Raw genomic sequence first — 22,242 nt, 5'->3', positions numbered from 1 at the left:
ATCCCAGCCTCTGAGTAGCTGGGACTACAGGTGCACACCACCATGCCTAGCTAATTTTTTTTTTTGTATTTGTAGTAGAGACAGGGTTTCACCATGTTGGCCAGGCTAGTCTTGAACTCCTGGCCTCAGGAGATCCACCCACCTTGGCGTCCCAAAGTGCTGGGATTACAGGCGTGAGCCACCCAGCCCGGCCTAGCTAGATTATACTTTGTTTACACATAGTTGATAAACTGTAGCCCACAGTGGCCCTGCTGTTGGATGGCTGATTTGTGAGAGATATAGAGCTAGGTCTAGATGTCCTGTAGCTGGAGCCATCTCTCTGTGTTTAGGATACTCAGAGATGTGAAAGCTTTATGATGGCATTATTGTACTGTCATGTTAGGGTATAAGTCATCTGCATTTCTCAAGTGGAAGCTCATGCCAGTTATAATGCTGCTCTCAAACCTGACAGAGGTATACGAGGAGGGCTTGGTATGTTTTCAAAGAATGCATTTGTGTCTTTATCATTATATTAAGATAATCCCATAATAGACCTATTTTAGAATGCACTTATACATTTAAGATATATTCTTATTTTTTAGCTACTTGATATTTGAGTAAGTCTGGACAGAAGAAAGACTGAGTTAATAAGATAAAAGACTGGTAGATGGGGCTGGGCCTGGTGGCTCATGCCTGTAATCCCAGCACTTTGGGAGGCCAAGGCAGGTGGATAGCCTGAGGTCAGGAGTTCAAGACCAGCCTGGCTAACATAGTGAAACTGTGTCTATACTAAAAATACAAAAAAATTAGCTGGGTGTGGTGGTGGGTGCCTTTAATCCCCCTACTCGGGAAGCTGAGGCAGGAGAATCGCTCAAACCTGGGAGGTGGAGGTTGCTGTGAGCCAAGATCATGCCATTGCACTCCAGCCTGGGCAACAAGAGCGAAATTCTGTCTCAAAAAAAAAAAAAAAAAGACTGATAGATGGTGTCTCTTGGCAGATTTCAGAGAGTGCAGATTAGAAGCTTAATTTTCTGGTGGGAAGTGCCTTAACTTTGTATGAAGGGATTTATTCATTTTAAAGTAGTTTACATCTGTTACTTTAATTCTTATAATAACTATATAATAACCATCTCTAATTTGGAACAGAGAAAACAGGGACTGCTTATTTATTGGTTACTTCAAGAAAGTTTTATTTCAGTGTTTTCTTTAACACATGTAACCTCTATGCTAACTTTATATACATGCTTATTTTGAAGAGGACTATAGTTTTATACAGTTGCTTTTTAGTTACAATTTTATCAAAAAAGTAATACAAATAGCATGTTTTAGTCAAGGACAATAGGTATATGTGTATCTGTGTAGTGCATATATTTTTTAAGTATTTATAGAGTGTAAGAGTGTAATAGTAGCTCTATATAGTAACAGTCATTGTATGTTTTTTAACCTTTCTAAGATTTCATTCCTGTACAAACGAGCTCTGTGAAATTATTATGGCCAAAATACCAATGTTTGTCTTTCACCTAATTTATCTGCACTTCATAAAAATGCTTAAATATTACTTCATCATCCTTAAATTTGCTTTGCAGTATGTGAAGCCTATGAACTAATTCTTGAATATTTATGAAGTAATTCTGATTTTTTTTAGGTGTTACAGGCTCTTAGGAATATTTAGCTTAATTTGGAACAGGATTCTTTATTATTTGCATGACTTTTCAGTTTTGAAAACGAAGTTACAGTAAATCCATGTATGTATAATCCAGTTATACTGACATCAGTTTTTGTATCTTTCTACAGGAGTTTGGTTAGGTATAACAGTTCTCATGGTTCACAATATCCTGATTGAAATGCTAGGAAAATTACTTTACAGATAATGCATAGCATTGTGTATACGTTACTTATTCCCTCTATAAAATTCTGTTTTACAGAATGCATGGGTAGTATCAGCAGTTGGAGTTTATAAAAAAGAGCTAATGAAAAATACCCTTAAGAGAGTAGATTGTAAGCATTCTCGCCAGAAATAAATGATTATGTGAGGTAATGTATATGTTAATTAGCTTGATTTCTGCCATTCTACAATCTATGCCTATATCAAAACATCATGCTATATACCATAAATATATATAATATTTATTAATTAAAATAACTGAAATGTAAAAAAGAGACATAACCCTCCCTCAAAGGTTAGACAGTGAAATAGGATGAAAGTCACAATTTGATTATTTACCAGAAGCAATCATCCTTATCTGGTAGGACTGATGAAGACAGTCACTTTACATTATGCCTTACTTGGGCTAGGGAAAAAAGTGTGTAAAAATTTCCAGAATTTTATAGCAAAGAATAAGGGCAAAAAGTACTGGCATATGTCTGTCAATAAAAACTCAGTATTTCCAAAAATAATCTTAAAAGAATACCCTTTCTTGACTTCTCTGTTGTTATTGTTGAGGAAAGTTATTTTACAGTTTGTTTATTTGTGTGAGATTTGTTTGCTATTCAAAGTGTAAGATCAGTATTTTAAAATATAGATACCAAATCCATGTAGTATAATAGTGGTGATATGCTGTCAGTTGACAGTTGAGCAAGATAGAACTTAAATCTTTTATACTGGCATAATGTTAGCCTTAGGTAGTTTAAGTTTCTCCTTCAGCAGATTTGTGCCTATAAATAGTTTGCTTCAGAATGAATGGGGCAGGTATTTGGTGGATAATGGTCCCCTGGGGTGGGATGCTGTTAGACCATCAGCATAGTGTGGAATATTGTTAGATATACAGTCTTGGATAGTTCCCAGATTGCTCCATCAGAATCTGCATTTAAACAAATTCTCCTGATGATGTGTGTGCACATTAAAATTTGAGAAGCCTTCTTAAAGGTGACATCAAACTTGGCATCTGGGGAACTAACACTTCTCTACCCAAGATTGCAAAGATATAAAATTATTTATTAGCATTATAAAACAAATATTCCTCTTAAAAGTATATTTCTCTTTAAGATTATCCATCTTTTCTGGAATAAAATGTTTTTAATGCATTTCCGTACTGCTGTTCTTAATCTTACCTACCAGAGAAGACAGACTTTGCTTTGTCCAACCTGAATGAGCAAGTCTGGTTATTGTTAAGTCTTCCCTAAGATAGCGGCAGCATCTGGATTTGCGTGAAGTCAAATCTTGCGAAACAGAGGTAGAAAACTGGCCCTGACATTGGGATGGCATTGCATGTTACTCACTATTGGGCATGTTTTGTACCACCAGGGATACAGACATCCTGCATCCTAATTAAAAAATAAATATGTCCTGAGTGTCTGTTGCATTCAGTGTGATGTGGAGTGGATCAAACCTTTCCTTAGGGAGTTCAGGCCAGGAAGTATTCTTGAAGGGCACATGCCTTGAGCAGAACTATGTCATTCTGAGATATGACCATGTGGATCCATTGGCTAGACTTTCCCTAGCTGTGGTTAAAAGAGGGATTAGGAATATAGCATTCATTTCAGCCAGTTCAGCATTTCCTATCAAACTAAGTACTGTCATAGTGTATCAGTATATTTAAGGGAAGTTAGAATTTAGAGCAAGAAATATAAATTCTAGATGTAAGTACCTTTTCCTAACAGACTTGATGTAAAATTTTGTTGTGGCACACTCTACTTCTGAGTTTTCCAGTTTGCTTTAGGGAAACATCTCTTGTTTGAATTCTGCTTCCACTATTTAGAAACTCTTCAATGTTGCTAAACTTCTGAGATGGGCCCGGGAGCTCATTGACTTTTCTGGTGATGGCTTTAGTGTGTCATTTTGCTTCTTAGGGATCTCTCAGTACCAACCAAGTCCTGCTCAGTAATGTGAGCAATAAATCACACAGGATGAGGAGCTGTTCATGTTGAACCCGGCGTTGGGCCTGGCTCTTACATGCATACTGGTGGTGGGGGTAAGGGTGGGGTCTAGGGTTGTAGGGCAAGGTTTGAAAACCAATGCCCTAGCATAAGAACACCACCATGACTACTATTAACCTAAAAACCTACCGTAACCCCCCTTTTTAATATATGAGACTTCTTTTTCCATGAATTTTTTTCTTGCCTCCCTTAATCATTGTTTCTATCCAGTAGTGTAGTGTTTGTCTCTCTTGCACAGGTGACCCATAAACTTTGGAGGTAGGAGACAGCGGCTCATAGTCAGTAAATATCACTATGTGCCTTAAACATGTGGGACCTGGGACAAAACATTGAAACACAAACCTTCCAAGAACGTACACTTTTCTGCCATACAATTGGCAAGCATGTTACTGTTATAGGAGAGAAGGGAGCTTGCCATAAATTTTCTCACAAACAAGGAACTCTAAGAGAAAAATGATAGTGTGGTATACTTTAAGATTGTAAATGCCATTTTCTTAATTTATTGTGTGGAATGTATTTCTATTAGATGTTTGTATATAATACTTAAAGAAATACCAACAAGAGTATTTATTATTAGCTCATTTATGCCACCGATGGTTTCCTCTACACATTCTCAAACATGAACTTAATTCTTGAGAATGAAGAGATACTGCTGTATACTGTAATTTATATTAAATTGTGACATTTCCTCCATTAAAAAGACACTATAGCCTTATTATTAGAGAAAAGCAACAGGATACCTTTTGTTTGGGATTTCTCGGTGGAAAATACATTTTGACTTAAATAGGATTTAAATGGCAACTTGATAATAGATAATTTTAGGAGATTGCTCAATGTTCCACTTAGGGATTAGTTTAGATTTTGTTCTGTCATGATTGTATGGAAAAGTGCTATGTAGTCATATCAGATTGTCCCACTCCATGCCTAGTGAATACTTGTGCCACTTTTGCTCTGCAGGAAAATGACTCAGGCACTTTGGACACGGTAGGCGCTGTGGTTGTGGACCACGAAGGGAATGTTGCTGCTGCTGTCTCCAGTGGAGGCTTGGCCTTGAAACATCCGGGGAGAGTTGGGCAGGTAAGTAATTATGGGTTTTTTAAACTAGCCTTTCAAAGTAAAGCATGGAATTTTTAGCTCACAATTTTTTAACCAGTGGGAACATTTTTTCTTTAGAAAAAATGAATGTCATTGTTTTTTAACATGTAGTATAAATCATCAACCAAATACCTTTTTAAAATTCTTTTTAAGAAAACCTATCTCATAGTAATTGGTTTGTTTCTCATCTTTACAATCGTTGATCCTAGTTTTTCTCCTTTCAGCAGGCTGGGCACTGGCCTGGGTATTTAGTAGACATTTAATAAATGTGTGCCAGTTTCCATTTTCTCTCTGTAAATGTCACTCTCTTTAGGAACAAGCTCTACTTGACTATACTGCTTGCTTTTTAGTTGGAGAAATGATTTTAGAGTTACATTTTTTATTTCCTCTGTTCCATGTATTGTGACATTTGGCCCTTTACATCCCTCCTCTGATCCAGCATTTCAGCCATTTTAGAAAATAACCAGTATTTCAGGTCACCAACACATGATACCACTTAACAAATCTAGAAATGGAGATGGTCTAATTTATGTAAAATTTGCTTGTCCCCAGTTCACTTGCACATCTTCTTCACTTTGCCCCTTTCCCCCGTCTCTCATTTTTAGTTTTATACTGAGAATGAAATTTAACAATCTATTTGATCTAGGAAGCTTTCTGAGGATAAATCAATTTTGGCACATTACTTGTGGGCTTAATAAATGTTTGTTGAGTGAACAGATGAATTGGATATTCTCACGGAGTAGTTGCAAGGGTTCATTTAAACTCAGTATTTGGGTGGCATCTTATAGATGGAATGTGTCTTGTTATGCTTTGTGTACTTTGTCACATTTGAAGAAGAGTCAGTGTCACAGTTACTTTTTTCATGATGGTTAGTGACTATTTGAAGCAGAGAGATCCAATTCATGGAGAATATCACTGCACACCCCAAAGTGGTGTTGTTTGATCTGCTCTAAGCTGCTTACATTCCTAGACTAGGAAAAAGGGGAAGGGAAGAATAACTAGTTTTGTGCTACTCTGCCTAGTGTGCAAGGGGCTGTATAGGGAATGATTACTCAACGTATGTACAATGCTTTAACTCATTGTAAAAGCCTTTGTCTGGTCATGGTATTTTTCTACATTATAAAGTCCTGTGTATTTGTCAAGTTTGCAATAGGAAAGTCAAGCTTGGCATATCAGATTTGGATACGCTAGTAGAGAAGGTGAGAGAAAAGCCAGCAGAGTCACCTTTGATGCATTATAGTCCCCATGACTTTCTCACTGTTTTCTGTTTGTTTTGGTTAGCAAAATGGCAACAACAGAACTAAGGATAGTTCTGGACTATGTTAGCAGGATATTACGTCTAACAATCTAGAAGCTATTCTGCCACTGCACTTAGAACTGTCCTGAGCAAAAGAAATACTTCCGTAAAATTTATGTGTTGGTTTGCCTCACTTGGCTAGTTTGTGAATACACAGCTTCTGAGAGTTAGAAAATCAGGAAAGAGTGTGGAAGAAAGGAGTAAAAGGGCTTATATGAAAATGCAGTTGCTTAATTGGATTATAATGCTTGGATAGAGGAGATGTAATAAACTTGAAACTATGTAAGTATCAGATGAGAGGTAAAGAACAGTTCTTTTTGACAAGCCCAAATGAAACAAAATACAAAAGCAAGTTATATCAAAGGCTAATTATTTTTTAAAGTGTGCTGAAACTAGATACTTTTAATGTATTTTAAATGCACAATTAACTACTTAAAAATTTTAGCATATTACCCTGCTGTAGATATGTGATAGCAGTGCAGATGGTGAATGGTAATTTGAGGCCAGGCGCAGTGGCTCACTCCTGTAATCCCAGCATGGAAGGCCAAGGTGGGCAGATCAGTTGAGGTCAGGAGTTCAAGACCAGCCGGGCCAACATGGTAAAACCCCATAGAGAAGTAGAGAAGGTGAGAGAAGCCAGCAGAGTCACCTTCAATGCATTATAGTCCCCATGACTTTCTCACTGTTTTCTGTAATCCCAGCACTTTGGCTCACGCCATCTCTACTAACAATACAAAAATTAAGCCAGGTGCAGTGGCTCACGCCTGTAATTCCCAGCACTTTGGGAGGCCAATGCAGGTAGATCAGTTGAAGTCAGGAGTTCAAGACCAGCTTGGCCAACATGGTGACACCCATCTCTACTAAAAATACAAAAAATAGCTGGGCGTGGTGGTATAAGCCTGTAATCCCAGCCAGTTGGGGGGGATAAGGCAAGAGAATCGCTTGAACCTGGGAGGCAGAGGTTGCAGTGAGCTGAGATCTCGCTACTGCACTCCAGCGTGGGTGAGAGTGAGACTCTGTGTCAAAACAAAACAAAACAGAACAAAAATTATCTGAGCATGATGGCTGACACCTGTAATCCCAGCTACTTGGGGAGACTGAGGCAGGAGAATTGCTTGAACCTGAGAGGCTGAGGTTGCAGTGAGCCAAACATGCCACTGCACTCCAGCCTGGGAGACAGAGCAAGATTCTGTCTCAAAAAAAAGAAAAAAAAAAAAAAAGGATAAGAAATGGCAATTTGAATTAGAACTTATTTGCTTCTTTAGCTTACTGTAATAATTTGAATTTACAGTTTGGACATGAGAAAGGAATTATTATATTTCATTTGTCCTCCTAAACCTCACCCCACCCCCACACAAATAGGCGGTTGAGTTTACTGGTTAAGTGTGGACTTCCGATCTAGGTAAACCTCTATTCTAATCCCACCTCCCCATTTACCATGCCCCTTACTTTGAACAAGTTACTTAACATCTTTCAGCTCCACTTTCCACCTCTGTAAAATGGGGATAACCGGCTACCTTACAAACTTGTAGAAGATTCAATGTCAAAATGTATTTAAATTACATATTATAGCCCCTAGTAATAACAGCTATAGCTACTGTTAATTAAGCACTTGCTATGTTCAGCAAGTACGTTAATTCGCATGATCCTGTGACAACAATATGAGGTAGGTATTTTCATTATCTTTATTGTATAGAAGAGGAAACTATTGCCCAGAGAAGACTAATAATAATATCATTTATATGACCTACTTTTACTGCATGATAATAGCTTTAATAAAATTTTAATACAGTTTTACTACCAAAAAGAAGTAAGATTTTAAAAATTTGTTTTTAAAGGCTTGCTTAAGGTTGCCATATTTTATCCAATGAAGTGGATAAGAGATGGACAACCTCTAATTCTTTTATCTTACCTATCACTGTCTCAGCCCAATGAATTTCAGAAGGTTAAGAAGAAAGACAATTTTAGGTCTTGAAACTAAGGAAGGGTATCATAAAGGGAATTTTCTTAAAGGGAAGGAGCAAAGGGTAAGTGTAAATGTTCTTTTCTAGAAAGATGACCTCCCCTGGCTTTATAAGAGGTGTCCTTGGGACCTTATTTACTATTTTTTGAGTGCAGGCTACTGGTCATGTTAATTGTGGGGGACGTAAAAGATGATAGTTTTCAATGAAGAAAGAATGGGTCCTTCCATTGATTTCTTGTGTTCTCTGAGACTGGCTGACCCAGCACTTGCTTCAGGGAGTACCAGTTGAATAGTTATCCCACAAGTCTGCCAGTTTATTTATAAATTCATATTCTAAATCACTTCTGAAGGGCTTTCAGTTGCCACACTGACCCTGAGCCAGCATGTATTTTAGAAGCGTGGTGTTGTCAGAAACAGTAAACAGATTTCCCAATGTCTACCATATTGAGAGTATCCCGCTCAGTTCTTGCTTCTAATTTTAAGAGGGATATTGTCTGTAACATCTGGAGATAGCAACTATGGGTCACATGAACATGGGAGACTTCCGTCTCTGGTTATCCTGGACACTGACTTATTTCTCTAGGAGGGTAATTATGAGAGAGTGGTGGGTTTGTGCATCGCAGAGTCTTGGGGAACAGCTCACAAATTTGGGTTTCTTTGGGTTAGAAAAGAGAACTAAAATAGCTGTTTTTAAAAAATTGGAGGACTTTCTGGGGGAGGTTACAGTACTTCCAGAGAGCAGAGGCAGGACTAGTGGTTGGAGGTTATAATACAGCACATATTTGCTACCAATGGGAAGTGTCCGTAAACAGAATGTGTTCCCACATGAGGCAGTGAGGTTCTCAGTGTCAGAAGTGCCTGGGATGTTTCATGGAGATTCCCGCTCTGGGTAGAATATTGGAGCGAATGATTTCTAAGATCCTTGTAAAAAAATAACAGAATATCATAGAAAGCTGAAGTCTGGTCCCCATCCTCAGTCTTAGCCTATTCCCCAGTCCTCAGAATGAACTCTTAGAAAATATCAGTACTGCTTTATGGGAGTATCTTTTTCCTCCATCAGTGGCAGGGAATACTGAATGTATTGTAGCTTGCTATTGTTTTCAATTCAACAATATGTTTGGGAGCTCTTTCTGTATTTGTTCTTAAAGACTTTTTAAAAAGCTTAATTCTTTTATTTTTAACCTTTGCAATGAATTCCACATAATGCCATGCCAAAGTTTAGCCATTTCCTCACTGATTGACATTTAGGTTGTTTCAAGTTTCTCATTCTTATCAACCATTTAGTAATGAACTCTTGAGCATGCCACCTTGTATTTTGCTATGATAGCTAGCTAGCTAGGTTTTTTAAAAATTTTAATCTCTACTTCTTACTATGGAGTGGAAGAGTTATTAGTTGTGATTTCCCTCCCAAAGTCAGAAAAGTCATTGTGGATATTGAAGAGAAGTAGCATTATTAAAAACAAAATAGGAATGATTGTCATAATCTGTTATAAAACCATAGTAGCTTATTGTGTACCTGATGGTTTCAGATGTATAAATCTGCTCCACCACCTAACAAAGTGATGAGCTTGAGTAGGCCTTTTTGCCTCCTTTCTTTTCATCTGGCTGAATCTAGCACAGTAGTGAGCATATATTGGGCCCTTTGGTACAGAACTATTTGCACTTCCTCTTGTGCCACGTCAACACAGACATGGAAAAGGCCCTCTTGAAGCAGGGTTTCCTGGAGCATGGCAGGAGGACCAGCTGCATCCCAGTACCCCATGGCCCTGGTTAACAGTACTGATTCCTAGGTCTGCCCCAGACACTAAGTCAGAATTTCCAGGAATCAGGGTTCTTATCAGTAAGCTCCCCAAGTGATCTGACACACACCTAGTTTGAAAACTACTATTTTAAGCCAACCACATTGGTTTTAAGGGGCCAGAAGAACAACTAGCTGACAAATTACAAAAGGGAGAAGTTTTTCAGGGAAGGAAAAAATTACTGCTGATGACACTAAGAAACTTGCTTTTGCTATTTTCTGAAAGTTTTAAGATTAATGGAATATCTGAAAACATAGTTTTGATAGTATTAAAAGCATCGTGTGCGTATGTCTTATACAACATCTGGTATTATCACCTAGTTGTTTTACATCATTATTAAACCAGGCTTTATTAGAGGGTATGATTTCTGTTGAAAACTAATAATTACATATGATATTTCTGAAATATTATATCTATTTTCTTTTTTCCCCAGGCTGCTCTTTATGGATGTGGCTGCTGGGCTGAAAATACTGGAGCTCATAACCCCTACTCCACAGCTGTGAGTACCTCAGGTATTTGCTGCTTTCATAACCATTTCTCATAACTTCAACCTTGTCAATCATTTAATGATTAAAAGCAATATTTGTGGGTAAACATAGAACATGTGCTATGACAGTGTATGGATGTGGGAAAGATCTTCAGTATTTGCGAGGTTTTAAGGGTTGTTTAGTATCAGTGTAAATACTTTGCTAACATTTTCTTTTTTTTTTTTTTTTTTTTTTTTTGAGTCAGAGTCTCACTCTGTCCCCATGCTGGAGCAGTGGTGCGATCTTGGCTCACTGCAATTTCTGCCTCCCAGGTTCAAGTGATTCTCATGCTTCAGCCTTCCGAGTAGCTGGGATTACAGGCGTGCACCACCACACCCGGCTGATTTTTTGTATTTTTAGTAGAGACAGGGTTTTGCCATGTTGGCCAGGCTGGTCTTGAACTCTTGGCCTCAAGTGATCTGCCCTCCTAGGCCTCCCAAAGTGCTGGGATTACAGGCTTAAGTCACTGCACCCGACCCACTAACATTTTCAATACAACTCTGGAGTTAACTATGGTTAATTATATTTTTATAGATCTATATTTTTTCTAATGACCCATGATGCTGCCAAGTTTAGATAACAAAAGACATAAAAGTAGCAGTTAATTTCAAAAATTAACAGATAATCTCTTGAGTAAAATGTTGACATAAAACTTACAAGGTACATTTCCAAATATACAGTTTATGACATTCAGTCCTTGAACGACACTTTTAATGTAATACAGGTCTTCTTTTTATATGTATATTGTAAAGGCATTATCATTTAGTACAAAGTGTGTGTGTGCGTATGTGTGTGTGCGTGCGTGCGTGTGTGCAGGAGATGAGGAATGGTGGACATGGAGAGTTTTAATAGGCAGAATGGTTGTTGTCTATTTCCATACTTTAATCATGCCTGTGCCAGATGTACGTGAAGCCTTTTCTCATTATGTGATGATACCTCTGGTTGACAAAATAATATTGATTCATTCCTTTTTCATGTTATCCTTCAAGTTACAGTCCCATCCCTTTCTCTCCAACAGCATCAGACTTTATCGGGAGAGTGGACAAATATGGCTTCCTTTCCTACCTTTCTCTCTCCAATTTCTTATCACATTGGTTTCTGCCCCACCACACTAACAAAGCACCCAGTCCAGTAGCCCTCTTGTCCTGCTTTCTGTCTGCTCTTTCTGCGATCTCTGATGCAAGTGACTTTTTCTTTTGCATGTAGCATAGATCCTGGAACCCTCTTGGTTTGTCTGCCTCTCTGACCTGTTCCATCTTGGCCTTCTTCATAGATTCTTACTCCTCTGTCCTCCCATTGCCCACAGCCCCAGGGTTGAGCCTTTGGTGAATTCTGTGCTTTCTCCTGCTGATTTCTTGTTATTTCTGCTGTTCTCATGATTTCAGCTGTTCTCTCTTGGGATTGGCTTCCATGTCTGTATCTACTTTGGACTTTTGAGGTGCATGTGAGTCCTTTCTGACTTCCTGGTGGGCATGTTCCTATGGGTGCTGTGTATACATATCAGACTCATGAGGTTCAACAGAACATTTCATTCTTCATCCCCACCCTGTGTCACCTTTCTCCTGTGTCCTCTATCTCTTTCATTGCTCTTATTCTCCTATCCTTTGCTCAGACTTGAAATCTTGGCACCACTCTCATATTTGTGGTTTCTTTCTGTTTCTTCTTTCCTGACTCTGTTCTTTCAGACTCATCTTCTCATGCCTGCCTATCTTAGCAGCCTCCTGACCTAGCTCCATTTCTTGCATCAGTGGAAAAACATGGTTTTGAGCCATTGGCCTATCAGGAGAAGTCTAAAATGAATTAATGTTGAATCGAATCCATACTACTATAATTGTCAAAAAATTGTTTTTAGTCATTTTTGAAGAAATGAGCATAATGTAATAATATGAGTTAATTTTAAATTTTAATTTAATATTGGTGGCACATGAAAACCTTGATGCATAATGTTTACAAATTAGGCTGTGAACATAATTTAGTATGGCCCCGTGTCTATGGAAAATTGTAGTACTTGAACAAAGCAAAGACTAATTCATAGTTGCATTTTGATTGTCTCAAAGAAATCACAGTTGGAATCATGTATTATAAGAGTTTTCTTTGTGGTCAATATGTTGTTCAGTGAGATAGGTTGTTGTTTAGACATTACTTTCATATCTAGATGTTAGGAGAATTGGCTTCTATTCTAAACTGAAATCCTGAGAGCCTGCCTGATTGTGTCAATTTGGAAAAGAGATTTCCAAGTCCGAGGAGATTGTCCACCAGTCCCCTACCCTTATTTTAAAATTGGTGATGTGCAAGTTGGAATAAGAACATACTCCATGGATTTGATTCTATTAAGTAGAATGCAAGGAATGGGTAGGTAAAGTTAAAATTGTAAAATTAAGGTTTTTCTCCATTGCTTTTGAATATTTCCTCTTTTGCCTATCCTGTGTCAGTTGAAGATAGTTTCATATGTCTAAAGATACCTCTAGCTTTCCAGTTCATGACATCCAGTGTAGCTTTTTAACTTAGATACCCAACTTGTCATGTTATACTCTTCGCAAGCTAAAAGACTAACCATCATCAGCCCACAGAACCTGGGGATGATAGAGTAAATCTCCAGTCCCTCTTGTCCGTTGGACTTTGTGTGATTGCCTCATTCTTGTTTCTCATGGGGCTGTTGCTATGAAGTTGACAATGGAAACACATGGCAGAGTTGGGTGATCAAGTCAGAAGAAAGGTGGAGCACTGAATTTTGCAACTGTTTGGCCAAAATAAAGAAGACTTGTGCCTTAGGCTGCTGCAGAAAATCCAGAGACCTGGCCTGCATTTTAGGATTATATATCTTAGAAGGTGATAATTGAAAGGCGGAGAAAAGATAGTTAGTTATGGTTAGGATAGGGCTCTCCCAAGGCCAGATGGGTGATTTGGTCATTAGCCTGAGGGATAAACTCTAGCATCTTGTTCTCATCACTGGGTGAGGAGAAATGAGTAAGGGCTTGGGGAGAGGGGGTGGATTAACAGGAGCTGACCTTTCAAACTCTGACTAATGTTCTGGCGTCATAGGAATTTGCCTAGCTAGGGATAGACTAGAGCAGGCACATGAGTTCCTGTCCAGACTCTTCCAGACCCACTAGCTGTGGAGCCTGGGCAAGGGGTTATTTGTAAAACCAGAATAATATCTACCATTACTGTAAGGGGTAAGTAAGTTGACATACACAAAGCTTTTAGTGCATTTCTTGTCCCAGAGTAGGGGCTCAATACTTACTGTATTTCATTGAATCTAAGTCATCATCCTTTATCAGATGCACCATTATTTTTATACCACTAAGGAAACAAAAGACTGTCAATTAAAGTATAACACACTGCCTTCTCATCACTTAATGCATGGTGGTTGCTTTACAGGAAAATATAGAATTAGGGATGTCTCATCAGTGAGAAGTATTTCCTTCACTGATAGCAAAGTCATGCCTCATTGCCATTTCCATACCTTTCTATGTGTACAGTTATTTTTAATTTGAATTCTGTATCACACCGTAATCCTTCTGAACACATTTTAAACAACAGTTTAACTCAACACATGTAGTTCCAACACGGCACGTAACTGAAGGGTCAACACATGCGAACCGCTTGCATCTAGAGGCAGTGGCAGCTCTGTCACTACTGCCACCAGGCATGTAATGCCTGGAGGATTACATGGGAGGATGCATCAGTTATAACACACCTGAATCCAGAAGTTTAAAAATGTGAAAAAAGTATATTTTAGAATTGATAAATTATAGTAAAAGCTTTTCTTATTCTCAGCTTTTTCTAGAAAATAAATAATTTGTTTCAGACTGTCTTGAGGCAGTAAGATAAACTCTTGAGGAAAGAGGGCTGTGGGTATATTTGTGTCTCCTGAGTGCCTGGCAAACAGCCTTGTACAGGGTAAGTGCCCGGTATACAAATAAAAATTAAGAAATGTATGTGTGGGTCCTCCCTGTTTGAGAAGAATGCTTACTTTTTCAAACAGATTATTCACCATGGACTTTCTTTAAATAGGATTTTAAAATATAATTCAATTTGCCACATTTGAATTCACACATAATTTTTCAGTAACACAGCAAATACATAATGTTAGAAATATCTGGGATATGTCTCTGGCTATGGAAAGGACGAGCAGATTGAAGATTAGAAGATCAGAAGGAGGGGAAAAAAGCAAGAGATTAAGTTTATGCTTTGGTTTACCTTAACATTGCTTTTCCGTTACTTGTCTATACAGTTCTTTTTTCTTTCCTTTAAAAAAAAAAAAGACAAAGTCTCACTCTGTCGCCTAGGCTGGAGTGAATGCAGTGGTGTGATCATGGCTCATTGCAACCTTGGACTCCTGGGCTCAAGTGATCCTCCTGCCTCAGCCTCCCAAGTAGGTAGGACTACAGGTGCACACCATCACACCTGGATAATTTTTAATTTTTTTGTAGAGACAGGATCTTGCTGTGTTGCCCGGGCTGGTCTTGAACTCCTGGGCTCCAGTGATCCTCCCACTTTGGCCTCAAAAAGTGCTGGAAACAGTGAGTACAGGGGTACTGATGGCAATTGACTAAGATCAGAAGATGTAGGCTTCATTTCCCCTCCTTAAAGTATTCTGGCATGAAGAAAGACCTACTACCTTGTTTCTGCTGTGAGGCCAAAGGATTTCTGATTTTCTCAGTTCTTTGCTTTTTAAGGTCTTGGCTCTGGGCATTTCTAGAAACCTGAGGACGGAGAGGGTTGTGGTCAGGACTTGCCAGGAGTAGCTTCAAAGGTAGATGGGATTAAAAAAATACCAAAATTGAGAACAGCCTTATGCCTCAATATTTCTGAGCTAGTGATTAGTTTCTTCCTCAAGGGCTAGGAGAATATGCCATTCCTTTTTGATTTCTCAACTTAACAACCAGAGGTCTTCCTCTGTCCCTCTGTGGGAGATTGTCTATGGGACTGTGTTAGAAAACTCGTGCCCAGAGACCTTTGTCAGGAGGGCACGAGACAGCCTTCTCTGTGAGAGGGGGGTTATGTGACAGCAGGAGCCAATGGGAGACTACTGCTGAGATATTGACAAATGCCATGTGGTCATTGCTCTTTAAGGGTATGTGGAAGGCAGGCAGGAATCCATGCTTCAGCTTCTATTTAGCAGCAGTCATTCTTGTACTCTGTGTGTCACAGGCACTCTTGGTGAATACAAGCCCTATTCTACTGAGGACTCAGTGCAAATCACCTAGGGTTCCAGTCTTCCTTCTAGCCCTCTCCCCATTTCTTAGCAACCCTTCAAGGTGAAACCTCAAGGAATTTTCTATACTCAAGGTTTATTATTTTTCTTAGTTCTCTTCTCTCACTCAATTTTATTCTACTTCAGTCAGGACTTCTCCTCTACCACGCCACCAATCTGTTCTTGTCAAGATTAACAATTACCTCTAAAGTCATGTGATTATCCTTTAGTCCTATAAGCAACATTTGACACGGTTGCTCAAATAACTTGCTCCTCCTGTAAATACTGTCCTTAATAGACTTCCAGGGACCACACACTCCTGTTTTTCCTGCCACCTCACTGGCTGCTCCTTCTTAGTCTCCTTTGTTAATATTCCTCATCTCTTTGACGTCTCAGTGTTGGAGTGCCTCAGTGCTTAGTCCTTGAACCTCTTCTCTCTTTCTTTGTATACCTGCTCCCTTTGTGTCTCATCCAGTCTGATGGCTAAGTACCATCTATGTGCTGATGATTCCTACAATTTTATCTCCAACCTGGGCCTCTCTCCATAACTGAGTTATAATTCAAGTGCTTGTTAAAATCTCCACTTGTATATATAACAGACATCTATTTAGCATGTCCGAATATGAGCTCTTGCCTAACCCTAAACGTGTTCTCTTGAAATATTTTCCCCACAGCAAGTGTCAATTCCAGTGGCTCAAGTCAAAATTTTGGGTTCATCCTTGACCCTCTTTTCTATCTCACGCACATCCAATTCACCAACAAACTTTGTTTACTCTCCTCTCTGAATATATTTAAAATCTGACCACTTCTCAGCACGTTAATGGCCACCAACAGTTCTGTGGTGCCATCATCTCTAATCTGGATCATTGCTAGCCTCCTAGCTGGTCTCTTGCTTTTTGCCCCATTCCCCCTTTATTTGTTTTGCAACCCTGCAACTGGTGTTCAAACCGAACTCAAACGATATACCTCTATTTTGAAATGTTAAGCCACTTCCCATCTTAATAAATGGGAAAGCCACAGTCCTAATGAAGGGCCTATAAGGCCTTGTTGGAGATACTTCCCAGCTTCCCCTCAGAACCTCTTGCTTTTCTTCTCTTGCTCACACAATTCCAGCTACGGTGGCTCCTTTGCAGTACTTCACACATGCCACGCACACTCCCGCCATAGGGGCTTTGTCAAGCTGCTGCTTCTCCTCCACCCTCAGTGTCTCAAGCCCCCACTCTCACCTCATCAGACCTTTATTCAAATGAGTCACCTTGATGAGTTCTTCTGCAGCCATCCTATATAAACATGGAGTTCTTCCTTCAGCCAACATTTCCTGTCTCCCTTTCATGTTTTATTTTTTCCCGTAGCAAGTATCATTATCTAATATTTTATATCTTTACACAATTTTCTTTTTAAAAAATTGGTTTAATTTAATTTAATTTAATTTTATTATTATACTTTAAGTTTTAGGGTACATGTGCACAACGTGCAGATTAGTTACATATGTATACATGTGCCATGTTGGTGTGCTGCACCCATTAACTCGTCATTTAACATTAGGTATATCTCCTAATGCTATCCCTCCCCCCTCCCCCACCCCACAACAAGCCCCGGTGTGTGATGTTCCCCTTCCTGTGTCCATGTGTTCTCATTGTTCAATTCCCACCTATGAGTGAGAACATGCGGTGTTTGGTTTTTTGTCCTTGCGATAGTTTGCTGAGAATGATGGAATGATGGTTTCCAGCTTCATCCATGTCCCTAAAAAGGACATGAACTCATCCTTTTTTATGGCTGCATAGTATTCCATGGTGTATATGTGCCACATTTTCTTAATCCAGTCTATCATTGTTGGACATTTGGGTTGGTTCCAAGTCTTTGCTATTGTGAATAGTGCCACAGTAAACATACGTGTGCATGTGTCTTTATAGCAGCATGATTTCTAATCCTTTGGGTATATACCCAGTAATGGGATTGCTGGGTCAAATGGTATTTCTAGTTCTAGATCCCTGAGGAATCGCCACACTGACTTCCACAATGGTTGAACTAGTTTACAGTCCCACCAACAGTGTAAAAGTGTTCCTATTTCTCCACATCCTCTCCAGCATCTGTTGTTTCCTGACTTTTTAATGATCACCATTCTAACTGGTGTGAGATGGTATCTCATTGTGGTTTTGATACGTATTTCTCTGATGGCCAGTGATGATGAGCATTTTTTCATGTGTCTTTTGGTTGCATAAATGTCTTCTTTTGAGAAGTGTCTGTTCATCTTCTTTGCCCACTTTTTGATGGGGTTGTTTGTTTTTTTCTTGTAAATTTGTTGGAGTTCATTGTAGATTCTGGATATTAGCCCTTTGTCAGATGAGTAGATTGCAAAAATTTTCTCCCATTCTATAGGTTGCCTGTTCACTCTGATAGTAGTTTCTTTTGCTGTGCAGAAGCTCTTTAGTTTAATTAGATCCCATTTGTCAATTTTGGCTTTTGTTGCCATTGCTTTTGGTGTTTTAGACATGAAGTCCTTGCCCTTGCCTATGTCCTGAATGGTATTGCCTAGGTTTTCTTATATGGTTTTTATGGTTTCAGGTCTAACAGTTAAGTCTTTGATCCATCTTGAATTAATTTTTGTATAAGGTGTAAGGAAGGGATCCAGTTTCAGCCTTCTACATACGGCTAGCCAGTTTTCCCAGCACCATTTATTAAATAGGGAATCGTTTCCCCATTTCTTGTTTTTGTCAGGTTTGTCAAAGACCAGATGGTTGTAGATATGTGGCATTGTTTCTGAGGGCTCTGTTCTGTTCCATTGGTCTATATCTCTGTTTTGGTACCAGTACCGTGCTGTTTTGGTTACTGTAGTCTTATAATATAGTTTGAAGTCAGGTAGCGAGATGCCTCCAGCTTTGTTCTTTTGGCTTAGGATTGACTTGGCAATGTGGGCTCTTTTTTGGTTTCATATGAACTTTAAAGTAGTTTTTTCCAATTCTGTGAAGAAAGTCATTGGTAGCTTGATGGGGATGGCATTGAATCTATAAATTACCTTGGACAGTATGGCCATTTTCCCGATATTGATTCTTCCTACCCATGAGCATGGAATGTTCTTTCATTTGTTTGTATCCTGTTTTATTTCATTGAGCAGTGGTTTGTAGTTCTCCTTGAAGAGGTCCTTCACTTCCCTTGTAAGTTGGATTCCTAGCTATTTTATTCTCTTTGAAGCAATTGTGAATGGGAGTTCACTCATGATTTGGCTCTCTGTTTGTCTGTTATTGGTGTATAAGAATGCTTGTGATTTTTGCACATTGATTTTGTATCCTGAGACTTTGCTGAAGTTGCCTACCAGCTTAAGGAGATTTTGGGCTGAGACAATGAGGTTTTCTAGATATACAATCATGTCATCTGCAAACAGGGACAATTTGACTTCCTTTTTTCATAATTGAATATCCTTTATTTCCTTCTCCTGCCTGATTGCCCTGGCCAGAACTTCCAACACTATGTTAAATAGGAGTGGTGAGAGAGGGCATCCCTGTCTTGTGCCAATTTTCAAAGGGAATGCTTCCAGTTTTTGCCCATTCAGTACGATATTGGCTGTGGGTTTGTCATAGATAGCTCTTATTATTTTGAGATACTTCCCATCAGTACCTAATTTATTGAGAGTTTTTAGCATGAAGGGTTGTTGAATTTTGTCAAAGGCCTTTTCTGCATCTGTTGGGATAATCATATGGTTTTTGTCATTGGTTCTGTTTATATGCTGGATTACATTTATTGATTTTCGTATGTTGAACCAGCCTTGCATCCCAGGGATGAAGCCCACTTGATCATGGTGGATAAGCTTTTTGATGTGCTGCTGGATCGGTTTTATTTTCTAATTTGAGTTGTCCTTTATTTCTTTTTCTTTCTTTTAATTTCAACTTTTACTGTAGATTCATGGGTACATTTGCAGGTTTGTTACATGAATATATCGCATGATACTGAGGTTGTGGTACGATTGATCCTATCACCCAGGTCATGAGTGTAGTACCCAATAGATAGTTTTTCAACCCTTGTGCCTCTTCTTTCCTCCGCACTCTAGTAGTCCTCATTGTCTATTGTTCCTATCTTTATGTCCATGTGTACCCAATGTGTAGCTGCCACATATAAGTGAGAATATAGGGTATTTGGTTTTCTGTTTCTGCATTAATTTGCTTAGGATAATGACCTCCAACTACATCCATGTTGCTGCAAGGGATATTTTTTTTGTTCTTTTCTGTGGCTGTGTAGTGTTCTATGGTGTATATGTACCACATTTTATTTGTTAATTCACCACTGATGGGCATCTAGGTTGATTCCAGGTCTTTGCTATAGTGAATAATACTATGATGGACATGTGAGTGCCTTGTCTTTTTGGTAGAACAATTTATTTTCCTTTGAGTATATACCCAGTAATGGGATTGCTGGGTCAAATGGTGGTTCTATTTTTAGCTCTTGGCTATTTTCTTTTTATTTTCTACCCTGCTCTAAATTCCTTAGGGGTTGGGATTTTCATCAGCTTTGTTCGTTGATGTGTGAATGTTGCTTATTACCTACAACTGCTGAATGAGTGTGAATGAATATGAATGACAAACAAATACATTGTGGTGGGGTAAGCCAGTGAAGCCCGGATGAGTGAAGGCTGAGAGGAAGGCAAATGAGGGGCTAAGAGTGGTATATTCTTGATAAGAGCAGAGGATGCCTGAAGAAGATGATTGAGTCTGAGGTGTTTGGGGCTTAATTTGGGGACTTAGGTCGTGGTGTTTAGACATTTTCTTTTGTATGAAAGGGGGACTCTTGAGTAGGGAGATGATCATACTTTTAGAAGATACATGAAGATAGCTCTTTCTTCTCTGAGAGTGTTCTGGCATGATGAGGAATGATCCAGACGCTGAGAGGCAAAACTAGTCAAGGAGTTAAATACATTGCTCTTAGTCCTGTTGGTGACATCCAGACTCTTTAGTCCACTTTGATTCCTTAATCTGCCTTGTTGGGCAGGCTGACACTGGCTTCTCAGAAGTTTCTTGTCCTTATGAAAGAATAAACCTTCATAATTTTTGTCACTCTCAATGAGATTCTTAGAATGCTGAGGAGCTGCCACTGGAGCTGAAATAATTTGAGACATAATATGTGGGGTTAGGAATAATGCCATGGGAAATCTTTTTGTGAATTATGACTTCTAGATGTGAGCCTAGATAAAACCCTAATGTTTGTAAACATTGTCATCTTAAAAGCACTTAACTCTTTGGACTGTTTGGTTGTTGGGGGTGGGAAAAATAATATTCATTTACAGATAACAGAGTATATAAACTACCAGCACATTTCTAAGAACTGAAGTAATTATCTGGGATGGGAATTCTATTCTGAGTTTATTGCATACTCTAATTAGGTCACTTCATATCTGATTAACTTTTAATATATTGCTTCTTGCTTTTTATATAAGTAAAGTCACTGATGGTATGCAATTATGTAGAATTCTGAATTATGCCAGATGATTTTCTAAGAAACCAGTTCAATGTGACAGCAATTGATATATCTTAGAGATTTTAAATGAGTGGATTTCTTCCTTTCATTCAGTGCGACATGTTACTTGTATCTTAGAGATTTTAAATGAGTAGATTTTTTTCCTGATTGTGAAATAATGCATGCTCATTGATAGGATTTGGGAAATGAAACTGATAATTTTTGCCATCCTGTGGTAGTCACTATTAATATTTTCGGTGGATTTTTGCCATTAAACAAAAGCGGAAATACTGCTTAGCTTGTATTGTACTTTGTTCATTTAATATTTTATAATGAACATTTTTATGTATTATTATTCTTCCAAACATAATTTTAAAGGATATGAAGGATATCTTTCCATGCATCATGAGTTCATGTATTTTGCTCCTCAGCAAGACGACTTGTAATTGGCCTCATGCAATAAAGCAGCAGCTGTTTTAGAGGCTCTTATTTTATGTTCTAGCCTGGTTATGATAAGAGAGAATTAAAAACATAGTCCTTGTCCTCAAAAGACATGAAACCTGGGGCCTTGGTAATATAGGAAACCTTCTTGCCAATATAGGAATATGTTGACATATTAGCTATAGCAAAAGGCTTATATTAGCACCGAATGAGGCTCTGCTGCATCCATTCACCTAGGGAATATGCACTGTGGCGCTTCCCAAAGGATCACTTGCAGGTACCTCAGTGTACCTGATGGCTTGACTGTTGTTGCAGCCATTAGTACATCTCCCTTCTTGCCACCTTTCTCTCCCCAAATCTCAACAAAACCAGTTGTTTTTAATCTTAACACTACCCATCACCCTCCTACACTCACTGAAATGTCTTCAGCCCCTAACCTCTAGAAGAGCTGAGGACATCATGGAAGGAAGGTAAGTCTTTCTCTGAAAGAGATTGTAGACCTGGGATATAATGGATAAAGTGATCCCCAAGATGCACTTTTGATGTTTTAATTTCTCAGATTTTTTTTGCTAGATACTTACTTTGCATTGCTTTGTTGTTGTTTTGTGAAAGAACAGACT

At 38.7% G+C, this 22,242-nt stretch overlaps 1 protein-coding gene across 21 annotated transcripts in view, besides 1 other annotated feature; it reads left to right on the top strand.

Annotated features, from left to right (window-relative positions):
- The window catches only part of TASP1 (taspase 1), a 534,161-nt gene that overhangs the window by 99,979 nt on the left and 411,940 nt on the right, over window positions 1-22,242 (top strand). For 15 of the 21 annotated variants that reach the window (XR_001754319.3, XR_007067463.1, NR_136629.2 and 12 more), the window contains 2 exons: window positions 4,813-4,932; window positions 10,443-10,521. Coding sequence is in view for 15 of the 21 variants with exons in the window: in XM_047440269.1 (XP_047296225.1) it covers window positions 4,813-4,932; window positions 10,443-10,521 (199 nt within the window). In the remaining 6 variants the exon portion in view is untranslated. Of the gene's footprint in view, window positions 1-1,904; window positions 2,014-4,812; window positions 4,933-10,442; window positions 10,522-22,242 lie in introns of those variants that run through there. The other 6 variants (NR_136628.2, NR_136630.2, NR_136631.2 and 3 more) reach the window with 2 other exon arrangements.
- Window positions 2,433-2,964: an enhancer, noted in NCBI's record as "NANOG hESC enhancer chr20:13516637-13517168 (GRCh37/hg19 assembly coordinates)". NCBI's record gives its function as "activates a minimal SCP1, AML or CMV promoter by ChIP-STARR-seq in naive H9 embryonic stem cells {active_cell/tissue: H9 hESC(naive)}" and the evidence as "EXISTENCE:reporter gene assay evidence [ECO:0000049][PMID:30033119]".

This window comes from Homo sapiens, chromosome 20 (assembly GCF_000001405.40).
Source record: "Homo sapiens chromosome 20, GRCh38.p14 Primary Assembly".
NCBI lineage: Eukaryota > Metazoa > Chordata > Mammalia > Primates > Hominidae > Homo > Homo sapiens.
The sequence above is the reverse complement of the archived record's forward strand: the minus strand, read 5'-3'. Positions and strand labels throughout refer to the sequence as shown.